Source organism: Homo sapiens, chromosome 4, assembly GCF_000001405.40.
Source record: "Homo sapiens chromosome 4, GRCh38.p14 Primary Assembly".
Classification (NCBI taxonomy): domain Eukaryota; kingdom Metazoa; phylum Chordata; class Mammalia; order Primates; family Hominidae; genus Homo; species Homo sapiens.
The window spans coordinates 1569734-1584204 of record NC_000004.12 but is presented as its reverse complement, the minus strand read 5'-3'; the positions used below and the strand labels follow the sequence as shown (position 1 = coordinate 1584204).

The 14471-nt window shown below is 60.1% G+C and overlaps 1 protein-coding gene across 1 annotated transcript in view, besides 10 other annotated features; it reads left to right on the top strand.

Moving 5' to 3' along the window:
- FAM53A (family with sequence similarity 53 member A) overlaps nt 1–10143 on the top strand; it is a 111956-nt gene extending 101813 nt beyond the window's left edge. The window contains exon 5 of the mRNA XM_047449667.1: nt 9661–10143. Within this exon, the coding sequence (XP_047305623.1) occupies nt 9661–9705 (45 nt within the window). The 3' untranslated portion in view covers nt 9706–10143. The remainder of the gene's footprint in view (nt 1–9660) is intronic.
- Nucleotides 2817–3043: a silencer, noted in NCBI's record as "fragment chr4:1582889-1583115 (GRCh37/hg19 assembly coordinates)". NCBI's record gives its function as "represses an EF-1alpha promoter that drives an FKBP-Casp9 reporter gene in an ReSE screen in K562 erythroleukemia cells {active_cell/tissue: K562}" and the evidence as "EXISTENCE:reporter gene assay evidence [ECO:0000049][PMID:32094911]".
- Nucleotides 2841–3000: a silencer, noted in NCBI's record as "silent region_15135". NCBI's record gives its function as "represses an Ori minimal core promoter by ATAC-STARR-seq in GM12878 lymphoblastoid cells {active_cell/tissue: GM12878}" and the evidence as "EXISTENCE:reporter gene assay evidence [ECO:0000049][PMID:35858748]".
- Nucleotides 3417–3626: a silencer, noted in NCBI's record as "silent region_15134". NCBI's record gives its function as "represses an Ori minimal core promoter by ATAC-STARR-seq in GM12878 lymphoblastoid cells {active_cell/tissue: GM12878}" and the evidence as "EXISTENCE:reporter gene assay evidence [ECO:0000049][PMID:35858748]".
- Nucleotides 3807–3866: a silencer, noted in NCBI's record as "silent region_15133". NCBI's record gives its function as "represses an Ori minimal core promoter by ATAC-STARR-seq in GM12878 lymphoblastoid cells {active_cell/tissue: GM12878}" and the evidence as "EXISTENCE:reporter gene assay evidence [ECO:0000049][PMID:35858748]".
- Nucleotides 4664–4943: a silencer, noted in NCBI's record as "silent region_15132". NCBI's record gives its function as "represses an Ori minimal core promoter by ATAC-STARR-seq in GM12878 lymphoblastoid cells {active_cell/tissue: GM12878}" and the evidence as "EXISTENCE:reporter gene assay evidence [ECO:0000049][PMID:35858748]".
- Nucleotides 5325–6197: an enhancer, noted in NCBI's record as "H3K27ac-H3K4me1 hESC enhancer chr4:1579735-1580607 (GRCh37/hg19 assembly coordinates)". NCBI's record gives its function as "activates a minimal SCP1, AML or CMV promoter by ChIP-STARR-seq in naive and primed H9 embryonic stem cells {active_cell/tissue: H9 hESC(naive and primed)}" and the evidence as "EXISTENCE:reporter gene assay evidence [ECO:0000049][PMID:30033119]".
- Nucleotides 6198–7071: an enhancer, noted in NCBI's record as "H3K27ac-H3K4me1 hESC enhancer chr4:1578861-1579734 (GRCh37/hg19 assembly coordinates)". NCBI's record gives its function as "activates a minimal SCP1, AML or CMV promoter by ChIP-STARR-seq in naive and primed H9 embryonic stem cells {active_cell/tissue: H9 hESC(naive and primed)}" and the evidence as "EXISTENCE:reporter gene assay evidence [ECO:0000049][PMID:30033119]".
- Nucleotides 7072–7945: an enhancer, noted in NCBI's record as "H3K27ac-H3K4me1 hESC enhancer chr4:1577987-1578860 (GRCh37/hg19 assembly coordinates)". NCBI's record gives its function as "activates a minimal SCP1, AML or CMV promoter by ChIP-STARR-seq in naive H9 embryonic stem cells {active_cell/tissue: H9 hESC(naive)}" and the evidence as "EXISTENCE:reporter gene assay evidence [ECO:0000049][PMID:30033119]".
- Nucleotides 11082–11858: an enhancer, noted in NCBI's record as "NANOG-H3K4me1 hESC enhancer chr4:1574074-1574850 (GRCh37/hg19 assembly coordinates)". NCBI's record gives its function as "activates a minimal SCP1, AML or CMV promoter by ChIP-STARR-seq in naive and primed H9 embryonic stem cells {active_cell/tissue: H9 hESC(naive and primed)}" and the evidence as "EXISTENCE:reporter gene assay evidence [ECO:0000049][PMID:30033119]".
- Nucleotides 11859–12636: an enhancer, noted in NCBI's record as "NANOG-H3K4me1 hESC enhancer chr4:1573296-1574073 (GRCh37/hg19 assembly coordinates)". NCBI's record gives its function as "activates a minimal SCP1, AML or CMV promoter by ChIP-STARR-seq in naive and primed H9 embryonic stem cells {active_cell/tissue: H9 hESC(naive and primed)}" and the evidence as "EXISTENCE:reporter gene assay evidence [ECO:0000049][PMID:30033119]".

The window sequence follows — 14471 nt, the reverse complement described above, 5'->3', positions numbered from 1 at the left end:
AAAAATGGATGGATTTGAATATATCAAAATGAAGGATTCTGTTTGACAAAGAATTCGATAGGCCATGTTAATGAATGGACGACAGAGGAATAGATGATATCGCAACATCTGAAACCCACAAGGGATTGATAGAATACACAGGAAACAGCCATCAATCACCTTGAAGAAGACAAGGCCTCCAAAAGAAAAAGGGGCAGAGACACGAACAGGAGATTCTCAGAGAGAACCTGAATGGCTGATGATAGACAAGGAGTGGTTGTTCAGCTTCTCCAGTGATCAGAAAGACGCAAATGGAAACAGCAGTGAGATAAACTCTGCACCCATCAGAGAGGCAAAAATTAGATAATTGTATAGTTCCCAGGATTGACAAGGATGTGGGCCAAGGAGAACCTCTGGCTGGAGAGGACGTCTCCTGGAAAGCAAGCTGGCGGCAGGTGGTGAAAGCAGGCAGGTGCCCACCCATGAGCCGGCAAGAACGACACTAACGCTTCAATCCTCGCACAAGCCCCGGGAGGAGGGACAGGTATCAGGCGGAGCACAGCAGCAGGGTCAGGAGCACAAAGGCCAGGATGGCTCCACCTGAGCTGCTGGGAGCTGCAGGACTGGGAGGGTTGTGCACACTTGCTGTGCCTTGTAACCGGAGCTGCACATGAGACGTGTGAGAAGCACATGAGGTGATCATGCAAAGTGCTTGATCCCTGCTGGCACAGACCAGAGATTATTGTCCTCCTGGGAGCACAGATCAAGCACAGGGAAGCCAGTGAATGGCTCGTTCCCCAAGGGAGACACGAGACTCCTCTGACCAGTGACTTTGGCCTTAGGCCTGTGCTGGGTCTAAGATGTGGCCACCTTGCCTCCTGCTGGTCCCGCTCTTCTTCATGGGGCAGACCTGGGACCCCGCTTCCTTTGCTTTTCTCCCATCTCTAACTGTACCCTGCCTGCAGAGGACACTCCGCCCACCTCCTCTTGGTGCTGGTCCCCTCCCCAGTGCACTCTCGACAGCCTCTGGCCCTCCCAGAGAACATGATTTTGCTGGGTCTCTGGCACCCACAGTGTGTTCACCCAGCACACCCATCTCCCTTTGCCATCTCCCAGGACAACTGGACATTGCCATTTCACTGAGAGTTAACTATCACTTTGTTTAGGCTCCTAAGAGCCAACTAGCAGTGAGTTTGCCCTATCACCCAGGTTCTTGACAGGATGTTAATTCTCATGACCAAGAAAGAGTCGTCAAATCAATGCATTCTTGCTCATCCAGGCTGATCCCTTCATCTGGGACCTAGAAATCCAATCCCAAGGTTTTTCTCTGGATCCTGCCTATATATGTAGCTATTTTTTGTTTTGCTTTAGTTGAGACAGGGTCTCACTCTGTTGCCCATGTTGGAGTGCAGTGGGGAACATAGTTCATGGCAGACTCGACCTCCTGGGCTCCAGTGATCCTCCTGTCTCACCCTCTCTAGTAGCTAGGACTACAGATGTGCGCCACCACACACCTGGCTAATTTTTGTTTTTGTAGAGATGGGGTCTCACCATTTTGCCCAGGCTGGTCTTGAACTCCTGGGCTCAAGAGCTCCTCCCGCCTCGGCCTCCCAAAGTGCTGAGATCGCAGGCGGGAGAGGACTGATCTCGGGCTGGGTGGCTCTCTGAGGCCAAGGTCAGCCTCCAAATGGGGTCTCAGCCAGGGCCGCCAGCCTCCTCCTGGTCTTCCCAGCCTGGGTGCAGGGTGCAGGGCCTCCCGTCCACTCTCTCTTGGGTCTGTGTAGGTGGCATACATGGCACTGGCTCACTCCCTGCCCTTCTGGTCTTTCCCCGCGGGGTGGTGGTGACGTCCGTGGCAGGGAGGGGAGTGTCGTTCAGCTGGGTCCAGGAGGAACGCCGTGGACTCTGTCCAGCCCTGCTAGGCAGCATGCCCTGATGGCCGTGGCCTGGCTGGAGTATAGGTCACAGAGCATCTGCCCTGCCACACTGCCCCCACGGCAGGGACCCTTCTTATCATATCAGTAGTAAACGCTGAAACGTGACATGAGAATGGCGTCTCCTTGCTGTCCTAAAGCTCATTTCTTGGATTGCTGACAAGGTTCGGCTGTTTGCCATGTGCTGCCTTCAAGTAGTCAAGGAGCTCTGTGTGGCTGATGTAAAGAAATTTTGGGTGGGGAGTGATGGCTCACACCTGTAATCCCAGCACTTTGGGAGGCCAAGGCAGGAGGATCACTTGAGCTCAGGAGTTGGAGGAGGCTGCAGTGAGCTGTGATCACACCACTGCACTCACACCCAGATGACAGAGCAAGACCCTATATCAAAAAAAAAAAATGCTGGGCATGGTGGCTCAAGCCTGTAATCCCAGCACTTTGGGAGGATGAGGAGGGCAGATCACCTGAGGTCAGGAGTTCGAGACCAGCCAGGGCAACATGGAGAAACCCTGTCTCTACTAAAAATATAAAAATTAGCTGGGTATGGTGGCGGGTGCCTGTAATCCCAGTTACTTGGGAGCCTGGGCAGGAGAATTGCTTGAACCCAGAGGCAGAGGTCGCAGTGAGCCAAGACTGCCCCATTGCACTCCAGCCTGGGCGACAAGAGCAAAGCTCTGTCTTAAAAACAAAACAAAACAAAAAAAGATATTTGGCCTGCTTAGAAACACATACATGTCTTAAAAGTCTAATTGGGTTTTGCCAGTAATATTCCAGATATGCAGGACCACGAGGAAGAGAAAATTCAGGTAACAGTTAAATATTTAAGAAAATGACCGATTTCTAGAACATTTGGAGAAAATTGGAAACTCAAAATTGGTTTTGTCTTTAACTTCTACTTCTGTAAGGGAGGGGACATTATGATGAAAGTCTGGTCTGAGCAACTGTGGCATGCAAGACCACAGGAGGCGAGGCCAGGGTGAGGGGCGGGGCCTGGGCCGCAGGCGGGGCCCTGAGCAGAGGTGGGGCTCTGAGTGGGAAGCGGGGCCCTGAGTGGAGGCGGGACCTGGGTGAGAGGCGGTGCCTGGGTGGGAGGCGGGGCCCTGAGTGGGAGCCGTGGCCCAGGTTAGAGGGGGGGCCTGGGTGGGAGGCGGGGCCCTGAGTGGAGGCGGGGCCTGGGTGAGAGGCGGTGCCTGGGTGGGAGGCGGGGCCCTGAGTGGGAGCCGTGGCCCAGGTTAGAGGGGGGGCCTGGGTGGGAGGCGGGGCCCTGAGTGGAGGCGGGGCCTGGGTGAGAGGCGGTGCCTGGGTGGGAGGCGGGGCCCTGAGTGGGAGCCGTGGCCCAGGTTAGAGGGGGGGCCTGGGTGGGAGGCGGGGCCCTGAGTGGAGGCGGGGCCTGGGTGAGAGGCGGTGCCTGGGTGGGAGGCGGGGCCCTGAGTGGGAGCCGTGGCCCAGGTTAGAGGGGGGGACCTGGGTGGGAGGCGGGGCCTTGAGTGGGAGGCGGGGCCTGGGTGGGAGGCGGGGCCTTGAGTGGGAGGCGGGGACCTGGACGGGAGGCAGGACCTGGGAGGGAGGGAGGGCTCGGGCAGGAGGCGGGTCCCTGAGCGGGAGGCAGGGTCCTCAGTGGGAGGCGTGGCCTGGGCGGGAGGCGGGGCCCTGAGTTGGGGGCAGGGCCTGGGCAGGAGGCAGGGCCTAGGCGGGAGGTGGGGCCCGAGGTAGGAGGCGGGGCCTAGGGCGGGAGGTGGGGCCCGGCTCCCTGAGTGGAGGCGGGGTCCGGGCGGGAGGCGGGTGGGGTCTGGGGCTCCGTGCACCCCGCGCCGGGGATGCTTTCTCCCTAGCTTGTTGCGCCGTCCGGTTCTGCCCCAGCCTTAGATCTCAGCTCTGAGCTGCCCTCACATCCCTGCAGATCTTTTCTGGCCACACTGGTGGCCCGCGGGGTATGGCTGCTTCCGTCTCGCGGCGTTGGCCTCCCTGACTGGCCGCCGGTGTAGGGCGCCGTGGGCGGGGTCCCTGGGGCGAGGCTGCCTGGCCTCCGCGGTTGGTTCGGCGGCCGCGGGGCTGCAGCTCCCGGCTCGCACTCCATCATCGACGGATGACAGCGGGAACGGTGGGAGTTCATTACAGGGACCATGAATTGTTGGAGGTAATTTAGATTACAATTTAAAGTTTAATTTAAAAATCTATCAACAAATGTGAAAGTACTGGAGGAACATTTTAAAATGCACTTTAATCTCACCAGCACAAATAGCTTCTCGGGGCTCTAAACATCATCACCTGGAAAAACAGTAAAACTTTACTGCATCTTTAATTAAATTACAAACACAAAGGATAATTAACTTTTTTATTTTTATTTTATTCCTGCCATTGTTTCTCCTTCGAGTCAATATCTTCCGGCTGCAGGAGCGGCTGTTAGGAGGAAGTTTACGGCGAGGCCTGATGGGTGGATGCCCCGGGGCGGATGCTCGGCCCCTGCGCCCTCCCTGCGGGCCCCGCAGCGCTGGGGCCGCGCCCCTTCGTATCCCCACAGCGCGGACACTCCTGGCCAGCCCGTGGCGGGAGGCGCCCTGGGGACACGCGTGGCCGTGGCTCGCGGGTGTCGCGTGTGCTCACCTCGGACCTGGGCGTTCTGAGTCGTAACTCACTCACGCCTCGCAGCGGCGCTGGGAGGCAGCCCCACCCCCTTTTACAGGCGGGGAAACGGGGGCTCAGAGAGGTCGGGCCATCCGCCCTGGTCACACAGAGGCTGCGTCACCGGCTGACTCGAGCCTGGCCCCACCCGTGCGCGTTGCACTTCTGGGTGCTGGGCTGCGGCCCAAGCCTCCTCCCCAGGACGCGGGGCTGGGACAAGGGGGCGAGTGCGGAGGGCGGGGGGGTGGCGCAGGCGCCCACGCAGGGGCTTGACATGCCGGTCCCCATGGGGTAGTAGACCGTGGGGGCCCGAGGGCGGCCGGGGTAGGGAGGGGCCTCCCACGAGGGCCGTGGGCGCAGCGGCAGGGCCCAGCCGAGGCCACCAGGGGGCGCCCAGCAGGCGCGGGCGGGGCCGGGGGCCGGGGCTCTGGCTGGGACCCTCGGGCGGGGATGGCGGCTAGGGGCGGGGGCGCGCCAGGGCAGGGAGGGCAGGGGGGGCAGGGGCCTGACGGGAGCCCCTGGAGGCGCAGCCGCCTCCGGGCTGGTCGGATTCGGGAGCGCTCGGGAGGGGCGTCCAGCAGCGCTGGGAAGGGGACCTCGATTCCGGCCTGGAGGGCGGGCGGTGCAATGGGGGGAGCGCCCCGGCTCTGCGCCTGCGGGGGTGGGGGGCCTAGGGGTGTCGCAGCCGGGCCGCGCCCTTTCCCGCCTGCTCTGCCTCGAGAGGCGACCCCTCTCCTCCCCCTCTTCTCTCCCCTCCCCCTCTTCTCTCCCCTCCCCCTCTTCTCTCCCCTCCCCCTCTTCTCTCCCCTCCCCCTCTTCTCTCCCCTCCCCCTCTTCTCTCCCCTCCCCCTCTTCTCTCCCCTCCCCCTCTTCTCTCCTCTCCCCCTCTTCTCTCCCCTCCTCCGCCCCTTCCCTGCCCTGCCCTCCCCTCCCTTCCCTGGTGACGGTGGGAGCTTTGGTTCGCTGCTTGCCTCCTCCGAGCCTCGTTGTCTGCAGAGGGCGGTTCGGGGTAGGGGGGTCGCGACCTCGTAGGTGGGCGTGGAGGGCAGGGCGCTTCCCATGGGGACCTGCAGAGTCTAGTGGGTCTGTCGCGCTCACGACAAATCTTCTGCCCCCAGCAAGGCCCGTGTGATGCCCTCTCCCCGTAACTGAGGGTCCCCTCACCTCCTACCCCCACACGTTCCTGCAGAGCTTCCAGGCCACACCGGCTCTCACGCCAACGCTCGCGCCCTTCTACACACCGGGTGCGGGCACTAGCGCACGCACCGCTGTCCCCAAGGCTGGTCGGCCCCTCCTGCCTGGCACGCCCGCCCCTGGCACTTGCACGCAGACGGGGTGCAGGCCACCCGGGGTGTTCAGTTTTAGTGCAGTGGCTGCTTAATTATTGGTTAATCTAGCAATTTAGCATGCTTCATTTAATTCTAATTAGGAGAATTAATAGGCAGGGAATAGCGATTTCAATAGACTGGCACAAAACAAAACCTAGCCTGGACATCGTGCCGGTCTGGGGGCCGTGTCCAGGCTTGGGGGGGGCCTGGGGGTGTTGACAGCCAGGACTGCAGACCTTCCCAGGCGCCTGAAGGTCGTGGCAGGGGAAGGCGCTCAGGGCAGGCAGGAATCGCAGGCAGGAATCGTGCTGTGGCTGCTCACCCCGGCCTGCAAGGGCAGCCAGGTCAAGGGCATGGGGAGAACCCCCAGAGCATCCCCGGGCAGCACCCCCACAGCCCCCCACCTGCACCCCCGCAGCCCCTCACCTGCAGCCCCCGACCCGCAGCCCTGCGGCTGCCTGGTCCCGGCAGAGCCTGTGTTTGTCTCTGCTCATCAGGCGGCTCCCTGACAAGGCCCCGACATTGGACAAGGCTGTCCCTCTAATTAAGGTGCTAATTGAATTAAATGGCCGCGGTAATGAGCAGATGAGCGGCATAAAAAGTACAGAGTCAGATAGGCCAATTAACAAGAGCGCCGCGCATAATTATAACATTGGAAATACATGCAGCTCGCTCCAACATTGTTAATTGTTACCGGGGGATTTATGGTAATTGGCGCACAACAGGCAGCCGGGGAACCTGCCCAGGGCTGGTAATTAAAAAAATGATATTCTACACAAACGCCGGATGGCCTAATTAGGACTTGATTTACATAAAGGCCTTTGAGGAGGTGCTGGGTACCTCACCGCTGCTGCTGGGGCCACTCTGGCCAGCAGTCCACGAGGTGAGACCAGCAGGCAGTAGCCCCCCTACCACCCCGCACCCTGTGGCCACGGGAGCTGCTGGCGTCCAGGCTCCGTCTGCTGGCGGGGTCCGCATGGCCATCCCTGAGCCCTGAGCACAGGCCCTGCCTCTGTCTGGGAGAGGACCTCCAGGGCCCAAGGCCACCTTCCCCTGGGTTCGCCACTGTCCTGGAGGGGGCAGGTCCATTCGTCTGGCACATGGTCCCCTCTGCTCTCCCTGTGTGCTCCCCTCCTGCAGTGTCCCAGTGAGTGTGCCTGGCCAATGTCCTGGGCACGTGGTCAGGCAGGTGATCTGGGTCCAGCCCTCCCCTACCACGAGGACAGCCTCAGACCCAACACCCTGGTGCGGGAAGTGCCCCTGTCCCCACCGTACCCGCTCAGTTGCCTCAGAGAGGACCCGGAACACTACCAGATGCACAGAGGGCTGGAGGGAGGGAGGGGCCGGGAACAGTGTGCAGTGTGGGAGGGAGGGGCGGGGGCACCCTTGGAAGGCAGAGAGGAGACCAACTAAGCTCTGACTCACCCCTCGTTCTGTCTTACCCCCTCCCTCAAGGAGGCCGCCCTGCGCCCCATTTTACAGAGTGGGAAGTGAAGTCTGATGTCTGACAAACTAGGCCCAACTCTCCGGGCTTCCGCCACAGCCCCTCTCCTCTCCTGGGGCTGTCCCCAGGGGCCAGCATGGTGCCGGGCACCTCTCCAGAATGTGGACCCTGGCCCCAGCCGGGGCACAGTCCCAGTCGCCCCTGCGGCGTCCCCGGCCTGCCCACCGCTGCCGCCTCTTCGACTTTCTGGAGCAGATTTACCGTAACGTTCACACTCTGAACAGAAAACTCTGCCTCATTTACAAATGTAATTTCAATTGAGGGTAGTTTTCCAATCTCCTTTCATTGGAGTCCCAATTGAGCCCCTTCTCGCGGTGCTGATGGCATGATTAGACAGTGTGCGCGCGGAGGCAGATTAGTCAAGCGCGGCCCCGTAAATTGGGAAGGATGTTTTATCAGGACACGTCGCTGTGCTGCAGGCAGCTGTGGGGTGCTCTGGGCTGTCCCCTCAAATCACGGTTATGGAATAATTTAGCCCGCGATTCTCTGCGATTACTGCCGCCACTGATCATGCTGTCACTTTCCGAGTGAGCACTTCATCCTGCGTTTATTCATGCCAGATCTGTTTTGCTTTTGTAATGAGCACATATTACCCCGGCACAAAGAGGATGAAGGCAGCCGCGTGATAGATAGGCGCGAGATTAAATGGGATCTTTATGACTTCTGCAGCCATCAGTTCTGACTGTGTGATAAGACGCGTCGACTAGGGCCCTGATTTGCTCTTTATTGGAGCCAATATTAGCATGCTCTCACCAGTGCACGGGCCGATCAAACCCACTTAAGGTGGACTCACCGCATAGGCCCAGCTGCAGATGCTGCTGGGATGGCCAGGAGGGAGGCTGCAGCCCACAGCCGGGCAGGTGGGGGGTGTGGAATTCTCACACTGCCCTGGGGCCACTTCACCCCGGGTGGCTTGCAGGGGGTCCCGGGGGTGAGGTGCCCCTGGTGACCCCAGGCTCAGTGGACTGTCCTGTATGCCTGGGTCTCAGGGTGGCCCTCTCCCTTCCCACCCCTTATCAGGCCTCCAAGAATGATGGCTCTCCCAACCCATGCTGGGGACCCAGCAGCCTCCTCATTCTGCCCCCAGCTCCTGCTCTCTGGCAAGGAGGGAGATTGGCTTGTTTAGGACCCCAGGGGTGCCAGGCCATTTCCTGGGTGGGGGCAGTGTCCAGCACCTTCCTCTGCCACTCAGTATCATGGAGACCCCTCCCTCCCCCTGCTGGACAGCCGCCACCTGTACTCAGCTTCGGGCAAGGCGCTCCCCGTCCTGCCTCTCTGTCTTCCTGCCATACCTTCAGCAACCCCCTTGACAGCCCCCCTCCCAGGCCACCCCTCTGTCAGGGGCACTGCCTGTGCCTGTCACTGCCTTTCTTTCCCCTGGTGTGGCCCCTGCCAGACCGCAGCCATCTCCCCTGTCAAAGTCTCCTAAAACTCAGACTGGATGATCTGCATCCAGTCTGCACCTTGGATGATGCCAAGTGGAGATTGGATGATGCCAACTCGGGCACAGGGTGGGATGGGGTAAGGTTGGGGGCCAGAGAGACTTGGGGTGTGGTGGAGCCCTGGACCTGAGTCCACACAGCATCCCATCCTGTGGCTGCGCTTTCTCCTGAAGGGGCTGCCAGCCCTCCTCAGGGACTGCAAGCACAGCTGGGTATGTCCCATGCAGTCAGCCCTGCCGGGTGGCCCCCAGCTGCCTCTTCCCCCAGCAGGGCATGGGCAGGCAGTGGGCACTCAGGGGGTAGCTGGCTTGCTGCACCCTGTCCTCTTGGTGGGCGGATGGGGCCCCTTCACTGCGTGGGGACTGGACTGCTGTCACGTGCCTTTAGATGTGCAGGTTGCTTCTGTGGCCACCTTCTGTGAAGGAGGCCTGTCACTCATCCACCTGGCACATTTTTAACCTCAATGTCATGTGTTGACACCGAGGGAGGCAGAGACCATGAAAGCTTGCCATAGCCGAGGGGTTCGGGCAGCCGGTCCGTCCGGGGAGGCCCAGCAGCCTGGCACACAGGGCGTGGGCCCTCCTGCCAGAGACAAGCTGAGCCTGCCGCCCGCTGACCACCTGCCGTCCAGCCAGCCCCACCCACCGGCTCCAGGCCCACCTCCTGCACCTGTCCAGGCCTCGCCTGTCTCAGGGGTGCCCGTGTGTGCAAGGCCCCACAGGAGGGGCTGGGACAGAGTGGGGCTGGGGGTCCCTTGAAATGATCCCTTGGCTGAGGGCCACAGAGGAAGAGAGGCGTGGGGGCACCAGAGACCATCTGTGTTTTAAAAGAATGTCTTCCAATCTTCCTCACAGAGGAATCTGAAGAAACGTGCTGGATGTCCCCAGAGAAGGAGCTGAACCATTTGAGTGGGGGCTTCACTGACTCTCCCCACACACAGGGCACCGGGGGAGAGCAGTCACATGACCGGCAGGCGGGGGTTTTGACCCTGGTGGGAGGGGATGAGGAGGGCACCAGTCCGGCCCTGAGACAACCCCCAAGACCAGCCCTGACTGGGACACTCTGCAGGATGTCAAGCAGTGCCCCCAAAAGCTGTCAAGGCCGTCCTAGACCAGCGGGGCCTCAGGAGATGGTGCAGAGTCCTGGACCAGACAAACGGCACTGGGAAAGCAGGAGCCCAAAGGAAGGCTGGAATTCAGGGAAGAGCCACGTGCCAGGCTGTGACGAAGGCGACAAGATGAAACAGTAGGGGGGCGGGGGAGGCATCCAAACTCTATGTGCTGTCTTTGCACTACTCTGTAAATCTAACATTATTCGGAAGTGAAAGTTAAAAATCACTCCGGCTCTGGTGTGCAGTGTGGCTGCTGGGAAGGAGGGGAAGAGTTGGGGATGCAGGAAGAGCTGGGATGAGGGAAGAGCTGAGGGTGAGGGAGGAGCTGGATGAGGGAGGAGCTGAGGGTGAGGGGGAGCTGAGATGAGGGAGGAGCTGAGGGTGAGGGAGGAGCTGAGGGTGAGGGGGAACTGAGATGAGGGAGGAGCTGAGGGTGAGGGGGAGCTGAGATGAGGGAGGAGCTGAGGGTGAGGGAGGAGCTGAGGGTGAGGGGGAGCTGAGATGAGGGAGGAGCTGAGGGTGAGGGGGAGCTGAGGATGGGGGGAGCTGAGGGTGAGGAGGAGCTGAGATGAGGGAAGAGCTGAGGGTGAGGGGGAGCTGAGGATGAGGGGGAGCTGAGGATGGGGGGAGCTGGGAGGGAGGAGCTGGGGATGAGGAGGAACTGCAGTGAGGGAGAAGCTGGGAATTGGGGAGGAGCTGAAATGAGGGAGCAGCTGGGATGAGGGAGGATCTGGGAAGAGGAAGGAGTTGGAAATGAGGGAGGTGCTGGGATGAGGGAGAAGCTGGGGATTGGAGAGGATCTGGGGAAGAGTGAGGACCTGAGGGAGGAGCTGGGATGAGGGAGGAGCTGGGGAAAAAGAGGAGCTGGGATGAGAGAGAAACCAGGAAGAGGGAGGAGTTGGGAATGAAGAAGGATCTAAAATGAAGGAAGAGTTGGGATGGGGGAGAAGCTGAAGGGGTGGGAGGTGTGGAGAGACATTTTAGAGGTGGGAGGCTGTGTGTTTGTGTGTTTGAATGTGTGAGGGTGAATGTATGTGAGTGAATATGTGAATGTGAGTCAATGTGTGTGAATGTGTGTGTGAATGGGTGTAAATGTGAATGTGTGTGTGAAGGAACGTGAGTGAATGTGAGTGTGAATGTGAGAATGTGGGAAAGTGAATTGTGTGAATGTGGGTGTGTGAATGTGTGTGAATGTGAATGTGAGAATGAATGTGTGTGAAAGTGAATTGTGTGAATGTGGGTGTGTGAATGTGTGTGAACGTGTGTGTGAATGTGAATGTGGGAATGTGAATGACTGTGTGTGAGTGAATGTGTGTGAATGTGTGTGTGTACATGTGAGTATATGTGTGAGCAGTTTTGCGAGTGGACAGTGTGTGCATGTGAGCATAGGATGTTTGGTGTGACTGCGTGTGCAGGGGCCTCACCTGCCTCCACAGTGGCTTGGCCACACCTTTTCACAGCTGGGGAAGCTGAGGCCCGGCCCCTCTGGGGCAGGAGTCAGGATTGGTGGTATCATCTGCCCGTCTGCTGGAGCCCCTCCCACCCTCATGCGCCCACCAACCCCCACCTGGCTTCTGCCACAGGTGGTTCGCTCTTTGTGATTTTTAGGCCTCCAGCCCCCTTCCCCCGACCAAGCCATGGATGTCCCCCAGCTGTCCCCACAGGAGTGTGGTGAGGGTCTGCGGGTCTGCATGGAGCCTTAGCTGGGGCTCCCGCCTTGGAAGCTGGGTGGGGGTTCCGTGCCTCCTGCAGGCCCCCCCAACCTCTCCCTTATCACAGCTGCCGAGTGCTCCCGACTCCCCCACCCACCACCCTTAATAGAAACCCATAAATATCTCTACTTGCTAATTTAAAAAGAGACGGGGCTGTTTATGAGCACCCCAAGAATGACATTTATGGGCCTGAAGGTAAGTGATTATTGACAGTAGACAAAGGCCCAGGAGTGGAGGAGCTGGCCCATTCGCTCCCAGAGATAAGGAGAGTGTTTCCTTTTCTCATGCTAATTTCCAACCTGAACTGTACACATTAGAGCAGGGAGGACTTCCCTTTCTTTTCATCTTAAATGTCACTACAAAGCGCTGGGATCCCAGGAAAGAGACGCCAGGACAACACTCCCCTGCCGCAGGAGCGGGGGTGACGCTGTGGCTGCCAGGCGTTGGTGGTGGGGCTGGGATGGGGGACGGGGCTGGGAACTCAGGGTGTGGGAGGCCCCAGGGTGCGGGGGTCTTGTCTCCTCTAGGTGTCAGAGCGCCTGACCCCACAGCTCAGCTCCCAGGCAGAGTGGGCCAGGGACCCACCGTCTTCCTATCTCACCAGGCCTCAGTCCACAGAGTGCTTTAAGAGAAAAGCAGATTAAATGTGTTTCCTTGTCTGTTTATTACATGTGTGTGTGTCAGAAGCCGCTGCATGCACACTTGTTCCAGGGCGAGGAAAATAAGGGTGGCTGCTGCCCTGGGCCTCGGATCAGAGAAGGGTGGGGCAGCCCAGAGAGCAGCTTTCCACCTCCTTGCACGATGCACCCCTTCCACGCTCCCTTCCCCCTGTGCAGGGTCAGGGCTCTAAGAGAAGCAGGAGGTCACCCCCAAGCGGCTTGCTGAGGAGGCCCTTCCGCCTCGTGGGGCCATGGCAATGAAGAGCACACTTGGACCCAAAGGAAAGAGCACTTAGGGTGGCGAGCACAAGCCCTCAACTCCAGGGACACCTTCCTCCTGCCAGCGCCAGGACCTGGAGACGTTCTTCCCTGGCAGCACCAGCACCCGGCACCAGGTCTGGTTCACCTGCCGACCCCAGCCCAGGTGAGGCCCTGCCTGGCTGGAGTCAGGGCTAAGGGAGGTGGAAAAATAGCAGGTGATTCTCCCGGGGAAGCCTGGAAGAAACGGGTGGGCTCCGAGAGGACACAGGCTGGGCAGCCAGCGGCCTGGCCCGGTGAGGCTCAGCCTCAGCCTCTGCTTCCACCCCTGCACTCACAGCTGCAGACACCGTGCTTGGGGCAAGACTGCTAGGCTGGGGTCTGCCAGACCCTCAGTGAGGCGGCCAGCATCCCCCGCTTTCCCTGGGAACTAGGGATGAGGGTCAGAGTCTGCCCCCCATGGCCCTACCCACACTCCTAACCCTTGGAAACCTCTGCTGCACACCTGTGACCTGTGGTGGGTTGGGCACTGCCCTCACCCTGTGGCCCTCCTGGCCCCTGAGGCCCCCACCTGCAGTGCCCCAAGCGGAGAAGGGTGTCCCCAAATGCATAAACACAGGTTCCAACCCGCAGCCTTGCCCACCAAGGCCTCATTGCACATTGTCGAGATTGGGGCATCCTCTTCACCCCCACAGACCCCCCCCCCCCAACTAGTCTAGCCTTAAGCAGCTCCTCCAAGCCCCTCTCAAAGGCCCAGGAGCCCGGCAGGTCTGGTCCCAGGGGCCTCCCCAGCCTCCTTGACCTCCTTAGCTGGGCTGAGGCTGCCTCTACCCGCCTGGGCACCCTCTCTCCTCTCCTGTCTCAGGCTTGCTGGGTCCATTCAGATTTGACACCAGGGCTGTGCTGCTGTGTTGGCCTGGAGTGGACGGGCTGTCCAGGAGGAGCTGCACTCGGCTCGGGGAACTAGGGTTGGAGAAGCCCCTGAGGAGAGAGGACGGGCCGTCATTTGGGGACCCCTGCTGCTGATGCAGGGGTGCAGACGGGCCGTGAACCGCCAGGCCCTGACCTGGTTCTGGGCGTGCACTGGGGGAGCTGTGGAGCCGAGCAGTGTGAGAGGGAGGCAGGTCCCTGAGCGCGTCTCACTGTCCTCACCTGGCACACGTGGATGGTGTCAGAGCCAACCCGTGTAGATGGATAAGCCACCTCGTGGGGGTGCCAGACGAGGACCCAGCTGCTCTGTTGCTAGGCACAGGGCCCTGGCCTTCACTGCACGGCCGGCACCGAGCCCAATGCCAGGCACATGGAGGGTGCTCAGCCCACCCTGGCCGGGCCACTTCCTTTGTCCCCTCTGGATCCCTGTGTTTGTTGAGTGGCTGAATGACCCACTCTGTGTGATGTCTGAGGACTGAGCCACCCCTCTGGCTAAACACTGTCCGCACACTTCCAGGCGTGAGTTAGGAATTCCGTGCCCTTGCACCCTCTTCCTACCCAGGGTCAACCCCCCTCACAGCCCCACAGGTGTCCAGAACCCAAAGTTCTGTGGCCTAAGGAACCCCGCTAGATAAGCCAGGAGCTAACATCCCCGCCTCTCAGTGTCAGGAGCCCCTGGAGTGGGGTTGTGAGCACCAGGCAGATCTGCTGAGGATCTGAGCGGATTCCTCAGCCAGGTGCATCTACCGGCATCTGCCAGCCACAAGCCAGCCATGCGCCCCCTACGCGGGTGTCTCAGAGGTGGCGTGAGCCCCAGACAACGCCCTGGAGCTGGGCTGTGTCCAGGGTTCTGCCTCCCCCATGGCATGTTGCCTGCAACTTCATTTCTGCCCCAAAGTCTCCCCAAGAAAAGCGTGTTACTAATGCCATTGCGCTGCTGTATGAAGCCGGGGGTCTGGGGGTCCTTGGGGTGGGTGAATCTGGCCTCCCGGCTG